Source organism: Homo sapiens, chromosome 22 (assembly GCF_000001405.40).
Source record: "Homo sapiens chromosome 22, GRCh38.p14 Primary Assembly".
NCBI lineage: Eukaryota > Metazoa > Chordata > Mammalia > Primates > Hominidae > Homo > Homo sapiens.
In genome coordinates, this window is record NC_000022.11 from 25,770,634 (window position 1) to 25,791,845 (window position 21,212).

Consider the following 21,212-nt stretch of genomic DNA (forward strand, 5'->3'; position numbering starts at 1 on the left):
CTGGCACTGTGACAGCTGGTAAAAGCCTAAGGTGAGTCAGACTTAGCCTGACCTTAAAGGATTTGGGGTCACAACTCAGCTCCAAGTGAATAGACCCCAAATGGAGACCTGTCCCAAGCCTTCTCCCAAGCTTGCTGGCCCGGCTTAGAGCCTCTCTTATCTCCTGCCCTCGCCTCTTTCCCCTCTTCCCCTCCCATCTCCTCCCCGTTCCCCTTCTCTCTCTGGGATGTCCAACCAGCTACGGTGCTAAAGCCAGATGAGGGAACAGCAGACCTGCCAGCAGGAAGGGTGAGACTTTGGATTGATGCTGACAAAACCATCACTGAGGTGGATGAGGAGCATGTCCATCGGGTGAGTCCCCTGTCCCGCCGTCCCCCAGCATGAGTCCCCTGTCCCACTTCACCCCAGCTCCATACCCTCCTTCCCCAGTCCTGCAAGAGATTTCCTTGTTCCTGACTACCAATACCATTTTGGCTTGATGCCCTGGAGGGAGTTATAGTGAAGAACCCCACTGAACTCATTGCTCTACTGGAGGGGTACTATTAGGGGGTCATTCACCCTTTCCTGTGGTTTCCCTTAATGAGGACACATCAAAGAACATGTTTGTCAGGTCTTGGCCCTGGGAGTTCTTCTGATGGACCCAAGAAAATGACTGCTTTTAATTTATAGATATTGGATATTGCAAATCATACTACACAGCATGTTTCTGTTTTCACTCTGGCCGCCAGGGAACTCAGAGCCAAATTTGCTGCTTGCCATTAACCATAGCATAGGTTCTAATGGCCTATATTTTGGCATCAAACTTTCTTTCAGCTTTGCTCTTTAAATTGCTTTGAATACATTTTTGTTGTGCACCATAAATCCTTTTGAGGACAAGTCCCAGTGTAGTGATAGAAAAGAAAGGTTCTGTCATGCCCTTTCCCCCCGCCCCTCACAGCCTGCTATCTTAGGAGTTTTCCTCCTTGCTCATCTGCATTCCTTTCTGCTCCTCCTCTGCCCACCTCAGGCTTTCTCTCCCGCGTTGGGCATTTACAGAGGCTCAGTGGCCTTGCAAGAAAGGCTGATCCATGAGAGGGCTCAAGCTTGGCCCAAACCTGAGACTACCAGGTTCAGAAAACTCACTGAAGCTGGAGAGAATAATAGGACGCCTCTTAGAACAGATGTTTTAAGAAGCAGCTTCACATAACCCTTGCTTCTAAGGGTTTGGGTGGTTTCCTAGGAATCAATGCATGATGGGCTATGAGACCAGTGAGGTGGTTTGGCCATTGGCCTCCACTCCTGGGTATCATGGAGCATATTGAGAGCTTCCTCGTAAGACCCAGAAGAGGAGGAAATGGCAGCGGATGCTCGCACACACTGGAGCATCACCTGTCTTTTTGTGGTGTTTGAGATCCAGAAAGTGTTTTGAATTTTGTCAAGTCTGCCTTGGGAGCGTCTCCCCTCATGGTGCATGGAGTGCAGGACCACAGCGAAGAGGGGGTGCCTCATAGGTTGCACAGAGGGCAAGGAGAAGGGATGGCCCTATTTTATTTGTAGGGCTTCATTGCTTTCCATCCAGAGTCCCTGTGCTCTGTTCTGGTCTTTGGCACATAGCTCTCAAGAGGAGGGCTTAGTGTGTGTTTGGTTGCGGGGGGGTGGGGTGGGGGCAGGGGGCCAGAAGGCCAGAAGGCCAGAGGAGACTCTGTGTGATGGTTTCACAGGCCAACCCTCCTGAGCTGGACCAGGTCGAGGACCTGGCCTCTCTCATCAGTGTCAACGAATCCAGTGTCCTGAACACGCTTCTGCAGCGCTACAAAGCTCAGCTGCTGCACACCTGCACAGGGCCTGATCTGATTGTCCTCCAGCCCCGGGGGCCCTCGGTGCCTTCTGCAGGGAAGGTGAGGTGGGACCATTGTGGGCAGGGCTGAGGGGCTGAGGGCAGGGGGGCCTGGGGGGATCCCTCTGCATCTGAGGTGACAGTAGAACCATCAGAGCCCCCAGTCGACCTGTCTGCAAGCAGCATCCTTCTCGCGGCATTGTGGCATCCTGTGGCATGGACCATGAGATTCCCCCATTCCCTGGAGGGAAAGATCAGTCACCATTAGGACAGAAACAGCAGCATTAAATATCACAAGAGTAACGAAAGAAAATACTGAATGAGTGTGAACTCTACCAGACACTGCTGTATGCACCTTCTTGTATTAACTCAGTTGAGTCTCACATATCCACCTGAAAACACAGGTACTGTGATTAGCCCATTTTACAGATGAGAAGAGCCGGCTGGGCCAGGCGCAGGCTAAACTCTCAGGTCTAGCGAGCAGAGTTGCTGGGAGAAAACCCAGGATACAGGGCTCCTGTGTGCTCTTCATCCCATGCTGAACTCTCAGGAGTCCTGAGCACCCACATCAACGGGGAAACAGAAGCTTCAGTTGTACTTTAGTTTTTTTCCTCGGAAGTGTAGAAACGGCCAATTTTTGTTGAGATGGGCAAGAGCAAAGGAAATCTCTAAGCGCCACCTTGTGGACGCACGAGGCACCTCAGCCGAGTCATTGAAGCGTGGGCCCCTTCATTCCTTCAACCCATAGTGATTGAGCTATTGATTGAGGGTCTCCTACCGGGCCACGCACAAAGAACATCAGGGAAGGTGCCAGGCGAGCAACCCTCCCCTTGTGGAGTTGCTGTTCTAGGAAGAAAAGACAGTCCATCAACAATAAAGATAAGAGTGGCCCGAGCAGATGAGTGGAGGAAGAGGTGGGAGAGGTTGGGAAAAACCAGGACAGAGCCGTGTCAGTTCTCAGGGTGATGATTCTGGCTTTCACTCTGAGTGGGATGGCAGCTACTATGGGTATTTATTTATTTATTTACTTTTGAGACGGAGTCTCTCTGTGTCGCCCAGGCTGGAGTGCAGTGGCACGATCTCGGCTCACTGCAAGCGCCGCCTCCCGGGTTCACGCCATTCTCCTGCCTCAGCCCCCCGAGTAGCTGGGACTACAGGCACCCGCCACCACGCCCAGCTAATTTTTTGTATTTTTAGTAGAGATGGGGTTTCACCGTGTTAGCCAGGATGGGCTCGATCTCCTGAGCTCGTGATCCGCCCGCCTCGGCCTCCCAAAGTGCTGGGATTACAGGCATGAGCCACTGCGCCTGGCCGATTTGTATCTATTTTTTATGAACTGGGCAGCCTCCTGAGCCAGAGTAGGCTTAGAGAGAGTCCCTACTGGGGTTTTTAGCAGAGCAATGACATGCTGTGACTTAGGTTGTAAAAGGATGCCTTTGGCTGCTGGGTGGAGGACAGATGGGAAGAGGCTCAGTGGAGGCAGGGAGGCCTGTCGGAGGTGAGACATCTTACCTGTGTGCTCTTCTGGAGACTCACTGGGAAGTCAGAAGCCCCTAGGACACCTGGTGTCTAGGAAAGATCATGATACCTCTTCTGGTTTCCATGTTCTCCTCTGCCAACTGGGGGTGAAAACACATCTTGCCCTTTGGGGCCCTGTGGGACAAATCCATCCCTAGTCCCTGAGGCAATGCTAAATCCATTAAAGGGGATATAGTGGGCCTGTACCCCTCTCTCCAAGATTTTTCTCCTCCAGAGTGACCCACACCACACCTTCAGTCACTCCCAGGGGCTCTCCCACCACCGCTGTCCATGGTCAAGGGCCTGGGAGGACCTCAGAAGCTCTGGGTGGGCCAGAGCTTGGCACGTGCCCTCTCCCGTCCTTGTGGTGAGTGCTTAGGCTTCTGTTGCTGCAGCCCAAGGCCTCTGAGCTGTCCACATTGCCGAGGGACTCCTCCGGCTCCCTGGAAATCCCTGGAAGGGACATTTTTATAGACCCAGATAGCAATCAGGTCCTCATTGGCCATCCTGGATTGAGGCATCAGAACTTAGGCAAAAGCGCCAAAAGATGCAGGCATTGGTACGCACTCTGAAGGTAGATCCCCCTACTTCCCTTCCTAACCCTGGGGTGGGGTGCGGCACTGGTCCGCACCCTTCCCTCAAGTCTTCCAGCCTCCCACACTCAAACCCACAGCCACCTCCTGTCCTTAGGCCGGATCAACCTCTGATTCCCCAAATGGCCACCAGGTGGGAGCACAGGCCTGCGGTGAGGCTGAGACCACCTCGAGGATGGGCTGGGTGGGGTCTGGACACACCGGGGGACTCTCTCACTATGGGGCTAGCCCCACCAGGCAGCTGGGGTCTGGGTGTGTGCCTGGGGACATGGAGGTCTAGGTGAATAAGAGGGTGAGTTTGAGCATGGGTGCGACCCCGTGGGTAGAGGTGGATCCCATCTCTGTGTGCAGAGCCCGCCGCAACTGTTGCGTGCATGTGCCTACAAGCACACTTCTGTGCATGCGTGCAAGGGCACATGTACACAGATGCAAAGGCATGTGTGCATGCATGCATATAGGAGGGCCTTCAGGAACCTGGATGTGCAGAATTCTTCCTTCTCCCCCTAGGCAGTGGGCCTGAGCAGGCTGATGGACAGGACTGCCCGTTCATTGAACTTTAGTTTTCCCAGACTGGGGGATGGCTCTAGGACTGAGACCCCAGGACCCTCTGACTGCCTTAAGCCCTAAGGCTGTGTCCAGCCAGTGTGGGGGCATATCCCTCCTTTGCCTGCATTAGGTTCCTGCTGAGCCCTACATCTGGCATCAGGATAGGGACTCATGACTGTTCCTCAGGGGCTTGGAGCAGGAAGAGCCAACAGTGGATTGGAGACAGCCCCAGCCCCAAGCTAGACATCTAGGCTGAGGGGAGGGCCATCACACCAGGGTTTGTGCCCCTAGTTCGGCCAAAGGACTGCGCTAGGGAGGGCAGATGGGGCCTTGCCGGACCCAGTGGACACCCTCAGCATCTTGGGCTTCAGACATCCTCCTGCAGCAGGGCCCATTCCTCTTTTCCTTTTGGTGCCCTCCTGCTGACCTCACAGTAACCTCCTGCCCTCTTCCCTCGCTGCCAAATCCAATGTCAAGTCTCTGGTCTCTTACTGAACTCAGCAGCATTTCCCTCCCTCTTCCTGGAAACACACCCTTCCTCGGCTCTAAGACTCCGCTTTCCTGGTTTTCATTCCCGCCCACTGGCCGCCCAGTCAGTCTTCCTTGTGGTCTCCCTGACCTGTCCCTGTCAGGATGCTCTGTTCTCACACTCTTCCTTGGTGATCTCATCCAGGCTTGTGGCTTTCAAACGCCTCCCGTTCACTGTAATTGAATTAATTTCTTTCATCGATCATCTCTGTCTTCCCACCAGAAGGCAAGCTCCACCAAGCAGGGACTTAAAAAAAAAAAAAATCAGGCTTACATTATAGTCCAATGCACCTTTTTAGTGTACAGTTCTGAGCATTTTTGACAAAGGTGTATAGTTGTATAACTGCTTTGACAATCAATTACATGACAGTTCCCGTCACCCCCAAAAGTTCTCTGGGCCCCCTGTGGTCAACTCAGCCCCAAGTTCTACCCCTGGTAGCCACTGATCTGTTTTTTTGTCCCTATAGTTTTACCTTAAAAAACCCATATAAATGGCATTGTATGGTATGTAACCTTTTGAATTGGCTTCTTCCAGGCAGCACAATGCATTGGAGATTCACCCATGTGGTTTTATTTATCTACAGTTTGTTCCTTTATTTTATTTCATTGATGCACTACTGTGCTTATTTGTTCATAGGGTGACCTCTTGTCCTGGTTTTCCTGGGACTAAAACGTTTTCTGGGACATGAGACTTTCAATGCCAAAACCAGGATAGCAATTTGGGAGGCCGAGGCTGGCGGATCACTTGAGGTCAGGAGTTTGAGACAAGCCTGGCTAACATGGTGAAACCCCATTTCTACTAAAAATACAAAAATTAGCCAGGCATGGTGGTGCACGCCTTAATCCCAGCTACTCAGAAGGCTGAGGCGGGAGATTCGCTTGAACCTGGGAGGTGGAGGTTGCAGTGAGCTGAGATCGTGCCATTGTACTCCAGCCTGGGCAACAAGAGCAAAACTCTGTCTCAAAACAAAAAACAAAAACAAAAACAAAAAAACAACAGGTTGGGTGATTATCCTAGTTCACTAGTTGAAGGACATTTGTGTTGTTTTTAGTTTTTGGTGATTTTGAATATATAGTCAATATAACCAATGACATAGAGGGGTTTTTTGTGAACATACATTTTGATTTCTTTAGGGTAAACACCTAGAGAGGGGTTGTGGGGTTGTGGAGAGGGGTAATGAGTGTGTATCTCACTGTAGAAGAAACTGCCAGGCTGTTTTCCATAGAGGCTGTATCATTCAGCATTCCCATTGGCATTGTATGAGAATTCCAGTTGCTCCTCATCTTCACCAAAACTTGGTAGTGACTGTTAAATGTTTTTTTCAGCCATTGTAATAGGCATTTAATGGTATCTCTTTGCGATTGGCTGGAATTTCCTTTATCCATTTTGTGTTATGCTGTGCCCGAGTGCCTGCTGCATAGTAGACACTCAATGGATTATTTTACTGAATGAAGTATGAATGAATGGATGAAGCAGATACGGTTTTAGTTATCACCTAAATCTGTTATGGCAAATATATAGCACACATACCACTAACTCCCCCATGTGCCATTCCCTGTGTCCATAGCAGACATCACTAATCGTAATGGATAATTATGCTATCGATCCAGCTGCCTCGCTTCAGGCAGATACCATTCGATGCTTTGAGTAACCAGTGAGATGAATCTCATGGATGAATGCAGCTCTCATTCAAGCCTCTAACTAAAGAGGAGAACTAGGTTCAGAAAACAGGCATGGGTTGTCCAAGGACTCACAGGGAGCCAGGGGCAGGACTAGACATACAGGCTTGGCTCCTCCTAGTCGAGTAGGAAGGGAGTCAGGGATCTGGAGGCAGATCTGGAGGCAGGGACACAGATCTGGACCCTAGGCCTGGGGCGGGGCGCTGTCTTAGAATGCTCCCTAGGCAGTGGCTGGATGGGATGGCTGATACCTGTGATCTTCCTGCAGGTGCCCAAGGGCCGCCGGGATGGCCTGCCTGCCCACATTGGCTCCATGGCACAGCGGGCATACTGGGCGCTGCTGAACCAGCGGAGAGACCAGAGCATTGTGGCCCTGGGCTGGAGTGGCGCTGGGAAGACCACCTGCTGTGAGCAGGTCCTGGAACACCTGGTGGGGATGGCAGGCAGTGTGGATGGCAGGGTCTCAGGTATGGTGGTCTCTAGGTGACATGGAGAGTTGGGGTCAGCACGGGGAGAGTTGGAAGGGGATGCTGAGCTGCTTTCTTATATTCATTCAGCTAGCATTCACTGAGCACCAGATATGTGCAGACCCCATGCTTGCTACTGGGCAGGGCTATCCCTAGGTCATTGGGATGCATTTGTTGAAATTAGAATAAGGTACTCCTTCCTCAAGACATTGACGGCCGTTTGCAGAACAATCATCATACATGGACATTGTTAGAACCGGATACTTGACTGCCATCTGCTGGGAAATCGTCCTAATAGACGTACACAAATCTAGGAGAGTGTGATGTGAATGATGCACCCCTGGGATGTGGTGTCTTTGGGCAGTGCACAACTTGCGGAACTGAACAGAGGACTCGAAGAGTGAAGCTTCAAGGGCAGAGTCTACACTCATGAGAAGCTAATAGCCAGAGAGGAAATTGAACTGTACCTACGTTCAAAACTTGAATGTTCTTCAAAAAGTGCTGGCAGGGCAGGCTAGGGAAGAAACTCAGGGAGCGCAGAGGAGGGCTGCAGGAGGGCTTTTTTTAGGATGTGATATTTGATCTGGGCCTTAAAAAAGAGTACCAATTAATAATAACAACTACAATATTAATAACCATCAGAGTAAATGCTTGCTGAAGCCTAATGTACCAGGCCCTATTCTAAGGATACTAACTTTATTATTATTATTATTATTGAGACGGGGTCTCACTCTCTCACCCAGGCTGGAGTGCAGTGGTGTGATCCCAGCTTACTGCAGCCTTGACCTCCAAGGCTTAAGTGATCCTCCCACCTCAGCCTCCTGAGTAGCTGGGACTACAGGTACACGCCACCACCCTTGGCTATTTTATTTTTATTTTTTGTATTTTTTTGTAGAGATGGGGCTTCACCATGTTGTCCAGGCTGGTTTAGAACTCCTGGGCTCAAGTGATCCACCCACCTTGGCCTTCAAAAGTGCTGGGATTATAGGTGTGAGTCACTGTGCCCAACCTGAACTTTTTTTTTTTTAATCTAAAACAGCCCTATAAGGTAGGTATTATTATTTTATATTTTATAGATTGAAGGCATTGAGATTCAGAGACGTTAACTAGCTTGCCTGATGTCACACAGCAAATACTCCTAGCGCTGAGATTCAAACCCAGGCCTACTGGCTGTAGAACTCTAACCATTGTGGCAGTGTTCTCAGCTTTTTTTCATTATTGCACACTCTGAAAAGCCTTTTAAGACATTTATTCCCCTTAATCATTTCCCCTATGATGAAATGTTAATACCACAGATAAGCTATATATTCCTTTATGTGTATTTGTGCTTTATACATAAAAAGAGTAAAATTTTTTTTACCACCACTTCTAAGAATCAGTTTTTGCTCTTCTCAGGGGCAATATCCTCCCCACTGAGAATATATGATGCAGGGAATATTGTGTTTCTAATAATAATAACTATAATAACAGTTCCACTTTTGGAATATTTTCTAAGCATGTGACATTATTAAATCTTTTGGTCCTCATGACAGCCACATGAGGACTAGATTTAATTAGTTAATTATTAATGAATTAACTAGTTAATTAATTTGCCCCAAATCAGGTAACCAGGAAAGGGCAGATCCTCAATCTCTTTTAACTGCTGGGCTATACTGCTTCTCCACTGGGGTTATTCCAGTGTTTTGCTGAACACCTACTCTACATCTGGCTCATGCTAAAAGCTAGAGATACAGTGGGAAGAGGCACAGTCTCTCACAATGTAGTTGTGCTGTGAATCGCATGTGTCTGAGGGTGGAAGTCAGGTCAGGCTGTATCGAGGTGCTTAGCACAGTGCTTGTTGCATTGTAGGTATGCAATGAATAGTAGTGGGGAGATTATAGGATTTTGCAAGCCTGCCTCTAAGCTGTGAGTGCAGGCCCTAGAATGTTATCCTCACCTCTTCCTAGGCTCCATTAGGTCTGGGAAGCCCTAGGGCAGCCTCTGTTACCCAGATTGTGCCTAGCCCTGGCCCTTCTAGATTGAGTCTTGTTTCCCCTACACTAGAGCTGGTAGTACAGGTTCAGCCCAGCAATCGGTGCTCAGTGAAATGTATGTGGTTTATAGTTGGGTTGGGCAGGGAGTGGGTGGCAGGAAGCTCACAGGAAGCCCACCGGGGGCTGAGGCCAGGATGGGGACTGGCCCAAGCAGGGGCCGTGGAAAAGGTGGACCTGTGTGAGGTGGCAGTGGCAGCACCTGGGCCATCAGTGACATGTGGCCCCATGCTGCCCCCAACAGTGGAGAAGATCCGAGCCACCTTCACTGTCCTCCGGGCCTTCGGCTCTGTGTCCATGGCCCACAGCCGCAGTGCCACCCGGTTCTCCATGGTGATGTCGCTGGACTTCAACGCTACAGGCCGCATCACAGCTGCTCAGCTCCAGGTGAGGCCTCTCGGGGGATGTGCAAGGGGGCCCTTGGGGCTGCTGTGTCTCTAACCCCGGGACTCAGCAGAGCCCACGCCTCCAGCTGGGACTCTAGGATGTGTCTGAAATGGTCATGGCGGTGGCTCAGGCCTGTAATCCCAGCACTTTGGGAGGCTGAGGTGGGTGGATCACCTGAGGTCTGGGGTTTGAGACCAGCCTGACCAACATGGTAAAACCCCGTCTCTACTAAGATGCAAAAATTAGCCAAGTGTGGTGGCAGGTGCCTGTAATCTCAGCTACTCGGGAGGCTGAGGCAGGAGAATCCCTTGAACCCAGGAGGCGGAGGTTGTAGTGAGCCGAGATTGTGCCACTGCACTCCAGCCTGGGCAGCAAGAGCGAAACTCCATCTCAAAAAAAAAAAAAAAAAAAAAAAAAAAAAAAAAAAAGAAAGAAAGAAAATAGTAATAATAATAATAAAATAATGAAATGGTCATGGATCCCCTAGCTGGGGCCAGTTGCTCCCCACCTCGCTAGGTGCCCTGGAACGTCCCCTTCTGGAGCAAGCCAGCCCGTCTGTGCTTCAGACTTTCAGGCGGATGAAATATTCATGAGCAAATAGAGAATTCAGGCTGTCATTAGCCGGGTCTTAAAAGCGCAAGTTGAAATTAAACAGACGCTTGCCAGCCTTCTGCAGCAGTCCGCGTGTGACGAACACATGGCCTGTTTGTTCCTATCTCCAAAATCACCCATACTCCTCCCCGTCTCCCTCAAACATCCTGTTTGAACAGAAAATAGGATTAGGTTATTAGAAGGGTTGTTTGTAACATGGAGCTGGTATAATATCCAGACTCAAGGAAAACCCCTTCATGCCAAATAAGTCCCTTTTCTGTCCTGGCCCTGAAATCCTACCCTTAATCACTATTTGGGTTAAGGTATTAAAGGCTTCTATTAAAAAGGGAATATGTTGGAAGGTGGCCTCATTTGATTGTTATTACCTTTGATACCTTAATTGAAATGAATCTATTGCATTAGTTAATTTCCTAGGTGGACTCTGAATTAGTGAGACAAAGGATTGAGAAGTTCTGACGTGGAGGTTGCCAGCAAAATTAATTTGGACCTGAGATGTTGTCTCGAAGAGTGGATCAGAGGCTGGGCGTGGTGGCTCACGCCTGTAATCCCAGCACTTTGGGAGGCTGAGACGGGTGGATCATGAGGTCAGGAGATTGACACTATCCTGGCTAATGCGGTGAAACCCCGTCTCTACTAAAAAAACAAAAAAATTAGCCGGGCGTGGTGGTGGGCGCCTGTGGTCCCAGCTACTCGGGAGGCTGAGGCAGGAGAATAGCGTGAAGCTGGGAGGCGGAGCTTGCAGTGAGCCGAGATCACGCCACCGCACTCCAGCCTGGGCAACAGAGCGAGACTCCGTCTCAAAAAAAAAAAAAAAAGAGTGGATCAGAGTGGGGCACCCCAATGGGGCTTCTGGGTAGCTGCACTTCAGGCATGTGCAGATGTACCCAAAGCACTGACTGGGTGCCCCTCTTCTCTCCCTGCAGACAATGCTTTTGGAGAAGAGCCGCGTGGCACGGCAGCCGGAAGGGGAAAGTAACTTCCTGGTTTTCTCCCAGATGCTGGCTGGATTGGACTTGGATCTCAGGTGAGCACTTGGGGCAGGAAGAGACAGCTGAGGGCAGTGCGACAAAGGGCACATGTTCTTTGGGGGCCCAGCCTTAGCTTCTGCCCAGCACTGAGAGGCCGTGGGACCCAGGGATTAGGAACATGGCGTCCGATTCCAGCTGTCTGGGTACACGCAGCTCATGGGCTGGGTGACTTTGGTCACATGTCATCCACCCTGAGCCGCGGTTTCTTCCTTTGTAATGTGGAAACAACACCTTGCATAGACCTTATAGGATTAAGAGAGATAATTTACATTCAGCTCTTTATAGGTCACATGTCATCCACCCTGAGCCTCGGTTTCTTCCTTTGTAATGTGGAAACAACACCTTGCATAGACCTTATAGGATTAAGAGAGATAATTTACATTCAGCTCTTTATAAATGCTGGGAGTCAAGGCTGTCTGCTGTGATAGTGGCATGTCAGTACTGGCCCTGGCAGCGGTATGGGAAGAGGGAGAGGGACAGCAGACCCCCATGTCTTCCAGAAGTTTCTAAACTTTTGTGGGAGCTTTGGGTGTATGGTAGGGTATGCCTACATGAGGTTCCTCAGGATGGACCTGGAGCTGAGTGGAGCAGTGAGCTGGGTAGTCAGGCAAGCCTCATCTTGGAGGGCCTCCTGGAGGAGGTGGCCTAAAAAGCCATCTCTGCCCTTCCCCAAATCTACAGGGCATCCTTAGGCATGTGGCTCATGTGGCTTCCTCTCCCAGAGCCTTGGTTTCCTCCTCTGTTGGATGGATGGGCATGGTCCTAGTGAAGTGTCGGGGAGAGGAAAAAGTGGGTTTTCCCACATGAGGGGTGATAATTTGTGGTTACTGTGCTCTAACCTCACCATTGTTTGTTCCCCAACCTTCCCTCCCCATCTGAAGGACAGCCTCAACCTGTCTGGAGTGTCCTGGCTAAGGCTGGAGGGACAGCTGTAACCTGCAGAGAGAAGGCAGAGTAGAGAGGGAACTCCCAGTTTTTAGAGTGATTGTAACTGAGCAGCAGGGAAACTTCTAGAAGATCTTGAGAATCTGTAGAAGAACTTGGAGTGGGGTGGTATAGCAGAGTGACAGGTACCACAGACTCGAGGACAAGGCTGTGTGGATTTGTATGTTGGCTTCTCCACTTGTTGGCTGTGTGACCTTGAGCTAATGACTTCACCTCTCTGAGCCTGACTTTCCTTATCTACAAAAATAGATGTGACTGTATCCCAGTGTTGTGGTGAGGATTAAAATATGATCAGGCAGACAATACTTCTTAAAATAGTGCCCGGACATAGCAAATGCTTTGTGTGTGTGTGTTCTTGTTTTTGGAGGATTTGATCTGCCTTGATACCCCTGACAGGCCCTGACCAGGCCCTGACCAGGTCATCCAAAGAAATGACTTTGGATTCAGAGAGACATGGGTTTGATCTGGGCTTTGCCCCACATGGGCTTCTCTGAGCCTTGGTTTCTCCTCCTGTAAAATGGGTTCCTACTAGTGCCAACCCCGTAGGCATTTAAATGAGATCGCATGTCAAGGCAGCAGGGGCCATGTGCGGTGCATAGTAATGGTGTAATGTGGGAAGGAGTAGGTAGGTGGGCCCTGAACATAGGAATCCCACTTTCAGCCCCGTGGCCTCACCTCTTGGGACCTCCATTTTCTCACCTCTCAGAACATCTCTCAGACACACACATCACCCTTGTTCCAGCCCTGGAGTTCCACACTGGGGCTCTCTCTTCTGTACCCCATGGGTGGGGCTTGGCTCTGGGGATAGAAGCATTGCCTCCTGGAGAGGGGGATTTGGAGGCTTACCCTGGGGTGGGCCCAGGAAGGATGAGGCTCAACTGTGGCTAGCAGAGGATGCCAGACGTTCATTCCAAGCCAGGCCTAGGCCAGGGGCCCTCCATGCTGGTGGCATCCTTATTGAGTTTGGCATCCTTAGGAGCTGGGCCAAAGCTGCCTCTGAGAGGAAGAGGTGGCCCAGATGAGTTTCAGGGACCCTAAGAGAGTGAGTAAAGTGCTTGGAGCAACTCAGCCCCCTCAGGGAGTCATTGTCATTCTGAAGCCTCATTGGTGATCCCCCAATTACTTCCCTTTCTCTACCTCTGCTGCTGCCAACTTGGTCCGTCACCCATATGGAAGCTTCCAAAGGTCAAAAACGGGTTCTCACTTGCACAAATGTCCTTTCTCCCATGCACTCATGTGGGAAACTCCTATTCATCCTTCAAAACCCTACTCCAGATCCCTTTTTTAGAGGAGCACTGCCTGATTCTTGCTCCTCAGTTTCTCCTTTATACTGTTTTGGTGCCTGGTATGTGCTTCTGGTTCAAAAACCTGCCAGCGCAGTCTCCCTTCCTCACCAGATGGACTGGGAGATCTTTGAATTGGGGCCCTGTCATTGTTCTTTCTGCTTTCCCAGTACCTAGCCCAGGGCTTGGCACCAGGTAGATGCTTCTTAATTATTTGTCAGATTTAATTTCCAGTGAATGGAAGAGAGTGTGAGGAAAACAGAGCACTTACTCCATGCCAGCCTGGCAGTGTGAGTTTATGTATAATATCTCATTTAATCCTGGGAGGCAAGTAGAGTAGGGGGCCCATTTTACAGATAAGAAAAAGTGAGTTGCAGAGAAGAGAATTACCTTGTCTGCCACATGGCAGCACTGGGGTTGGACTTGAAGCCTAGCTGGTAAGACTCCTTCAAAGTCACGAGGCAGAGAGGGGTGTGGGGTCTGTAGAGAATCCAGGGAGAGGACACTGAAGGCCTCAGAACCAGACAAGCTGGCTGGAGACTGATGAGTAATCCCCACTTTCCAGGAACCAATTTGAACCAACGTGGGATTGGGGATCCTAGGCTGGGCTCTACAATGCTTTTGTGAGTAGAGAGTGTGATTCGAAGGGGCAGGGGGCATAGCTGTGCCCACCCCGCCTTTGGCTTGCATTCCTCAAGCCTGCAAAAGTGGGTGGCCCATCTGCTGGTCTCACTCTCGAGGAACCTGCAGGTTGAACACGGGAAGGAGCCTTAAACATTGTGTTGCTTCATAAAGTGCAGACTGAGGCCGGGAGAGGTGCACGTGGCAGGATAGCGCGGAGTCTGGGCTCGAGGGGCCAACAGACCTCAGCTCAGCTTCTGGTTGCATGCTTGCTAGCTGTGAAGTCTTGGGGCAGGTACCCACTCTCAGTGCCTCTGTTTTGTCAACTGTAAAATGGAAATAATATTTGTACCCATGGAGTGGGGCTGTCATGAGTCATCTTAGGACTTAGCATGCAGTAAGGGCTCGTTCATGTTGACTGTTTTAATATTATCCTTGAGTGAGGTCGCTCAGCTGATTAGAAGATCTGGGGTTAGTCCCTGCTCTCCTGATTTTCCTCTACAACCCTTTCTCCTGGGATTTCCTGGCCTTTAGGAAGGGCCAAGTGAGGGCTGTGCGTGAGGAATATTTGGGAGATTGAAGATATCCCAGGGCAGAGTTAGTGGGGCCAAGGCCAGGGACAGGGACAGCCCCTGGGGTGTCCGGGCAGTTGTGTGGAGCCTCACACTGTGACGACCACCTGCCCTGCCAGGGCTGGTGTGGACAGCCCCCCTGACTCCTGGTTCCTTCTGTGCTTCCAGGACGGAGCTGAACCTGCACCAGATGGCAGATAGCAGCTCCTTTGGCATGGGCGTGTGGTCCAAGGTAAGGAGGAGGTCCCTCACGGGTGGGATGTGAGTCTGTGTCTGGGGCTAGATGGGAGGGTGATGAGTCGCCGTGCAACTTGTCTCTTTTGGTACTGGGGTTCATAGTTGGCAAGGGTTGGTCATGTGGAAGAGTTGGCACTGCCTTTGTAGGGTCTCGGCTTATTGGGTAAAGAAGACTCAGACAAATAAAGGAAACCAGACATAGTATACGTAGAGGTAGGATTAGGGCCCTGGAATCAGTCTAGTTCAAGCCCCAGCTCTGACACTTGTTACGTAGGTGAACCTCAGGCATGGACCTTAACCTCCTGGTAGGTCTGTCTCTTCTTCAGTACAGTAATGATAGTAGCAGTATCTGCCTCATAGGGTTGTTGTGAGGGTGAAATGACATGATGTGTATAACGTGCTTAGAACAGGGCTTGGCCTAAATCAATCAATAGGGTGCTCTTTGTCAGTACTAGTGGTGGTTAACTTGGGTAGGGGCACTCAGCGATGGTTTCCTGATGAATATAGTCTATGAGTGGGGCTGAGAGTTAGGTATTTCATTGCTTAAAAAAGCAAATGGTTCACTGGTTTGATATTTTATTATTCAATTATTTTAACCATTGTTTTCTCCCTTCTCTCGCAAATACCTTCATCACCACCTATGCTGGGCCTGTGTTGTGTTAGGTGTATGTTCCTGCTGAGTGCTAGGAGTATGATCCTCATCCATGGATTTTCACTTTAGCAGGAGACACAGACTTGGAAATTAATGCAATCATGTGAGATAAGAATATGTCAGAGGTTGCATGAAATGCTGCGGGCACCACAAGATAGCTGATAGAGCTACTTGGACTTTGCCAGGGAAGACTTCTTAGCCAAGGGAACATTTGGCCTGGGTTTTGAAGGATGAATAGGAGTTCACCAGATGGAGGGAAGTAGATAATTTCCACTCCAAAGCCTCTTTTCAAATATACATGTCTGGGAAACAAATAGTGCTGGAATAATTGGATATCCTGGTGCAAAAAAAAAAAAAATCCATATTTCACATGATATACTAAAATTAACAAAAAATGAGTCACAGATCTAATTGCAAAACTTCAAACCACAAAATTTCTAGAAGAAAGGTGAGAAAAATCTCTGTAACCCTGAGCTGGGCAAAGATTTCTTAAATGAGACATCAAAATCCCAGTCCATAAGAGAACAAATTAACTTTATCAAAAGGAACAGCATCTGCTCTCTTAAAGTCACTATTAGTATGAAGAAGCAAGCCACCGACTGGGAGAAAATATTTGCAAATCACTTATCTGATAAAGGATTTTTATCTAGAATATAAAAGTAATTCTCAAAACTCAACCCAACAAAAAAGATGGGCAAAATATGGAACATACAAAAAAAATGTAAATGGATGGCAACTAAGCACATGAAAATATGCTCAACATCATTGGTCATTAAAGAAATTCAGCCAGTGCGGTGGCTCACGCCTGTAATCCCAGCACTTTGGGAGGCCGAGGTGGGCAGATCACCTGAGGTGAGGAGTTTGAGACCAGCCTGGCCAACATGGTGAAACCCCATCTCTACTAAAAATACTAAAAATTAGCTGAGCGTGGTGGCACATGCCTGTAGTTCCAGCTGCTTGGGAGGCTGAGTCAGGAGAATTGCTTGAATCCAGGAGGTGGAGGTTGCAATGAGCAGAGATTGTGCCACTGCACTCCAGCGTGGGAGACAGAGCGAGACTCTGTCTCAGAAAAAAAAAGAAAAAAGAAAAAAAAATTGCTAAGCCTGTGTGCGTGCAGGCGCGCGCACACACACACACACACACACACACACACACACACACAGTCTGTCTTACACAGTGCTGAGTATTATCTGCAGAGTTTCTAATTCAGTAGCTCTGGGTGAGGCCTGAGAATGTGCCTTTCTCACAAGTTCACAGCAATGCTGATGCTGCTGGTCCAGGGACCCCGCTTTGAGAACCACTGTTGTAGAGTCTGTTTCTGCACTGGGTGAGGTGATGTGTCTGCCCCGTCTTTGAACTCTGGGGGCTAATCTACTTGTCACCTTATAAGTATGTCCCAAATATTGTATGGGCAAGCCTGGAGAGTTGGGGGCATATCAGAGAGGCTGCTTGGAAGAGGTGACCAAGAGCTGGCCATGAGAATGAGAATGAAATTTCTTTCATTCTCAAAACTCATGCATGAAACAAGCTGGAATGAGAATGAAATGAACAGATGCAACGAGGCTGGCATTCTTGCTAAACCAAATACTAGGGGGGCAGCTTCTTTACTTGGGGGACTCAGCAGTGTGTTCTTTTTTCATACCCTTTACCCCGTGATCTGGGGTCATGAGGAGCCCAGACCTCCACCTTGAAGGCAAGAGATGAGAAATTACCTCAGCACTGATTTTTCTCATTCATTTAATGAGCTTTGGCCCAAAATATCCGTATGAATCAGCAGAAGAGTAGTTGTTTATTTTCCTACTGTTTTTGAGAAGGAAAAGGACCCAAGCTGGGGTCCTCTGAGCTTTCCCCCAACCTGACCTGTTTGTTAACAGTCTGCATAAAGCCATTGGTCACAGCGTGAATTTGTGTCAAAGAAGCATTTGAAGTGGTTTGCTTTTTTTCCTCTTTATTTCTGTGGGGCATTTTTTAGACCAATTGATTTGCAGGAACTGGTAGGGTGTTTCTTTGTTCTCTCTCTGCTACCTGGCAGGTATCAAGAGAATGTTTTCTCTGTTCTTTCAGAAGAAAAATAAAGTCTGAAAATTCATTGGTCTTTGATACAAGCCTGGGCTAGTTACTGGGGTCGGGCAGGCCAGGTACAGCTTCATTAAGGGAATCTGGTGATCAGGATATGTCCCCCAATAATGGGAGTTGCTAAGTCCCCAAGGCTGTCAGGCTTAGCAAATCATACAGGATGCCCAGTTAAATGTGAATTTCAGATAAACATTGAATAATGTTTTAGTATAAGCATGTCCCAAATATTGCACAGGGAAGCCTGAAGGGTTGGGAGCCTATCAGGGCAGGCTGCCTGGAGGAGTGGACCACAAGCTGGTCCTGGAGTGAGAGTGAAAGTAGTCAGATGCAGTGAGGCCAGCATTCTTGCTGTACCAAATATTGTGGGGGACATATTTATGAAAAAAATTATCCATTGTTTATCTGAAATTCAGATTTGACTGGATGGCTTGCATTTTCTTTGGCAACTCTACAACCCAACTTCAACCCAACTTCATCCCTGGCTGAGCCCTCCTCCTTCCTTCTCCTCCTAGCCAGCCCCCGTACTATGATTAATTCTGCTTCTGTTTCATCTGTAACAGCTGGTTCCATCTCCACTGAAAACTCACTGGCGACAGTGGAGTCTGACGTAGTGATGTTCGAATCCCAGTACCAGCGGTTAAGCTGGGTGGCCTTAAGCAAGTGACCTCATCTCCTTGGGCCTCGATTTTTTCCTTTTCGAAAACTAGGAGAGCAAGAGTCCACCTTGACCTCAAATGAAATGAGATAAAGCCAATGAAGTACTTCGGCAGTGCCTGACACTTCCAATGTCAGCCCTTCTTCTTCTTCTTTCTTCCTTCTTTCTTTTTCTTCTCTTTCTCCTCCTCCTCCTCCTTCTTCTTCCTCCTCCTTCTTCTTCCTCCTCCTCCTCCTCCTCCTCCTCTTCCTCCTCCTCCTCCTCCTCCATCATCAAGGATGGCAGCATTGGGCAAGTTGGGAGGGCTTAGCCTGCTCCCCAACAGCAAGACACGCTACCTAGCCACTCAGTTCCCATTCCATGTTCCTTGGCAGCACGTCTTGTTTTCCCTCTTACTGAATTTATCTCTATTCTCTTCTAATTCATATTTTTAATGAAGCATCTGTTTAAAAAAAAAACAAAAAACTAAATTATGGCTGGGCTCAGTGGCTCACACCTGTAATCCCAGCACGTTGGGAGGCTGAGGCGGGCGGATCACCTGAGGTCAGGAGTTCGAGACCAGCCTGGCCAACATGGTGAAACCCCATCTCTACTAAAAATACAAAAATTAGCCAGGTGTGGTGGCACGTGCCTGTAATCCCATCTACTTGGGAGGCTGAGGCAGGAGAATCACTGGGACCTGGGAGGCAGAGGCTGCAGTGAGCTGAGATCACACCACTGCACCCCAGCCTAAGTGACAGAGCGAGACTGTCTCAAGAAAAAAAAAATAACGAAATTACTACATACTTCCTATGGAGAAATCAGAAAAAACACAAGGGCAAAACCAAAAACCAGAATACACACACACACTCGAGCAAACCAGAAAACAAGCGCCATTCACCTCACCACCCTGAGAAACCCACTGGTCCTATACCTGCAGGTGTTCTTCCAGTATTTTTCCTGCAAATATTTTACATAATTCATAACAAACTGTATATCATTAAAACTTTCTGGCCGGGCATGGTGGCTCATGCCTGTAATCCCAGCACTTTGGGAGGCCAAGGCAGGCGGATCACCTGAGGTCAGGAGTTTGAGACCAGGCAGACCATTATGGTGAAACCCTGTCTCTACTAAAAATACAAAAATTAGCCGGACGTGGTGGCGGGTGCCTGTAATCTCAGCTACTCAGGAGGCTGAGGCAGGAGAATCGCCTGAATCCAGGAGGCGGAGGTTGCAGTGAGCCGAGATTGCGCCACTGCACTCCAGCCTGGGCGACAGCGTGAGACTCCGTCTCAAAAAAAAACAACAAACTTTCACAAATATTATTTTTAATGACCAGACATTCATGGAGGGGACGTGGTTCACCGAACTGCTGTTTCCCTAATGTCCATTTACATGGTTTTATTTATTTTTATTTTTTAATTATACTTTAAGTTTTAGGGTACATGTGCACAACGCGCAGGTTAGTTACATACATTTACATGGTTTTAAACCTTTTTGTGGTTCTTAGTGATAAGGTGGGCGTCTGGCTTGTATTACCATCTCCGACTCCCAAACCTCCGTCTAAGGAGATGTCTCCAGTTATCGTCTTTCCTGTTGTCTCCTTGCTAACAGTCTCCCATCTCTGATCACACTGTTTGTTTATGATTTGTCTCCCCTCGGCCCTAAGTTCCATGAGGGTGGGAGTCTTACTTGTCTTGATCACTCCTGAATAGACAAGGCCTAGCACTCAGCCAGGCATACAGCAAGTGCTCAGTAAAGGTATGTTGAGTAAATAAATGAACGAGCATGCCCAACTCACCACCACTTAACTAAAATCACATCTTTTCAATTTTCGAATCGTTTGCTACTGTGGTCAGCAGAGATCGGTTAATTAAACTTTATTTTCTCCCCAGTATCATTTCACTAGGTCTTTGGGGATCTCATGTCTGCCTTTGGACCCACTCCTTGGGTCCTGGGAGCTGGGGCAGTTGCTGGGAATCTCTGAGGACCCAGAGAAGGGGATTAGAAAGCCTGGGGGTCCCATCCCTCAGTCATTGTGGGCAGCCTGGGGTCCTCAAATCTGGGCTGAGTAGTACTGTGGACCCAGCTCAGTGGGTGAACTCACTCAACCCCACCATCAGTGGCTCTTATTTGGGGATGGTCGCTAGAAGCTCATTGTCAATGGATATTTATTGATCTTATTAGATGCCAGGTATTGGCACACAGAAATAACTCAACTGGGTCTCACCCATCAAGTGACTCACTTTTGGGAGGTGGTGATGGGCTGCCATGTCTACATCAACAGATCATTCCAAGCTGGAGAGATATGTGCCTGAGTGGAGGTGTATGTAGGCTGAGGCCAAGCTGGGAGGAGGAGAGGCATATCAGGGAGAGCTGCCTGGCGGAGGCAACCATGAGCTGGAGCTGGACTGAGAATGAATTAGACAGGTGCAGGGAGGCCAGTGTTCTGGCTACACTGAGCACCTGATGCAAAGGTAAACATGAATGGCCAGCCAAAGCAAGGACCCCAGGGTAAAAGTGTGGAGATCCCCAGTGTGGCGCTGGCCGGGTCCTCAGAGGCTGTGTGTACCCGGTGACTGCCAGTTTCTCCTCTTAGTCCTCACACTGTGCCCTTGCTGCCTGCCACATTGCAGCTTGTAAATGGAACTTACTTGAGATCTGCCAAGCACCAGGATACATCTGAAATCACAAAGCTTTCATATTATTTTCGTCTTCTCTATAATTTCTTTTTTGCAACCTAGCCTAATTTTTTTTTTAAATGTGCCCAGCAGCAGTGGTAATAATAATAATAATCCTTGCCACCCAGCAGTTTGCTTCTGGCTGTCACATTCCAGGCCTTGGCCCGAGGCACATTTATTTTTTATGACCCAGTTGTCAACTGTTAGGGAATGGTGCCCAAATGGAAGGATGAGGGATCACTCACTCGTGCCAGGGGCTCTGCCAGGAGCTTGCTTTTACTTAATTCTCCCAACGGTTCTTTAAAT

At 49.0% G+C, this 21,212-nt stretch overlaps 1 protein-coding gene across 14 annotated transcripts in view, besides 2 other annotated features; it reads left to right on the forward strand.

The window, feature by feature from the left end:
- MYO18B (myosin XVIIIB) overlaps window positions 1-21,212 on the forward strand; it is a 321,660-nt gene that overhangs the window by 28,446 nt on the left and 272,002 nt on the right. For 13 of the 14 annotated variants that reach the window (XM_011530461.3, XM_011530458.3, XM_017029014.2 and 10 more), the window contains 6 exons: window positions 239-351; window positions 1,701-1,877; window positions 6,950-7,148; window positions 9,423-9,565; window positions 11,101-11,201; window positions 14,795-14,858. In XM_011530461.3, coding sequence (XP_011528763.1) covers window positions 239-351; window positions 1,701-1,877; window positions 6,950-7,148; window positions 9,423-9,565; window positions 11,101-11,201; window positions 14,795-14,858 — 797 coding nt within the window. Of the gene's footprint in view, window positions 1-238; window positions 352-1,700; window positions 1,878-6,949; window positions 7,149-9,422; window positions 9,566-11,100; window positions 11,202-14,794; window positions 14,859-21,212 lie in introns of those variants that run through there. The other variant, XM_017029016.2, reaches the window with a different exon arrangement.
- Window positions 6,486-6,986: an enhancer, noted in NCBI's record as "H3K4me1 hESC enhancer chr22:26173086-26173586 (GRCh37/hg19 assembly coordinates)". NCBI's record gives its function as "activates a minimal SCP1, AML or CMV promoter by ChIP-STARR-seq in primed H9 embryonic stem cells {active_cell/tissue: H9 hESC(primed)}" and the evidence as "EXISTENCE:reporter gene assay evidence [ECO:0000049][PMID:30033119]".
- Window positions 6,987-7,487: an enhancer, noted in NCBI's record as "H3K4me1 hESC enhancer chr22:26173587-26174087 (GRCh37/hg19 assembly coordinates)". NCBI's record gives its function as "activates a minimal SCP1, AML or CMV promoter by ChIP-STARR-seq in primed H9 embryonic stem cells {active_cell/tissue: H9 hESC(primed)}" and the evidence as "EXISTENCE:reporter gene assay evidence [ECO:0000049][PMID:30033119]".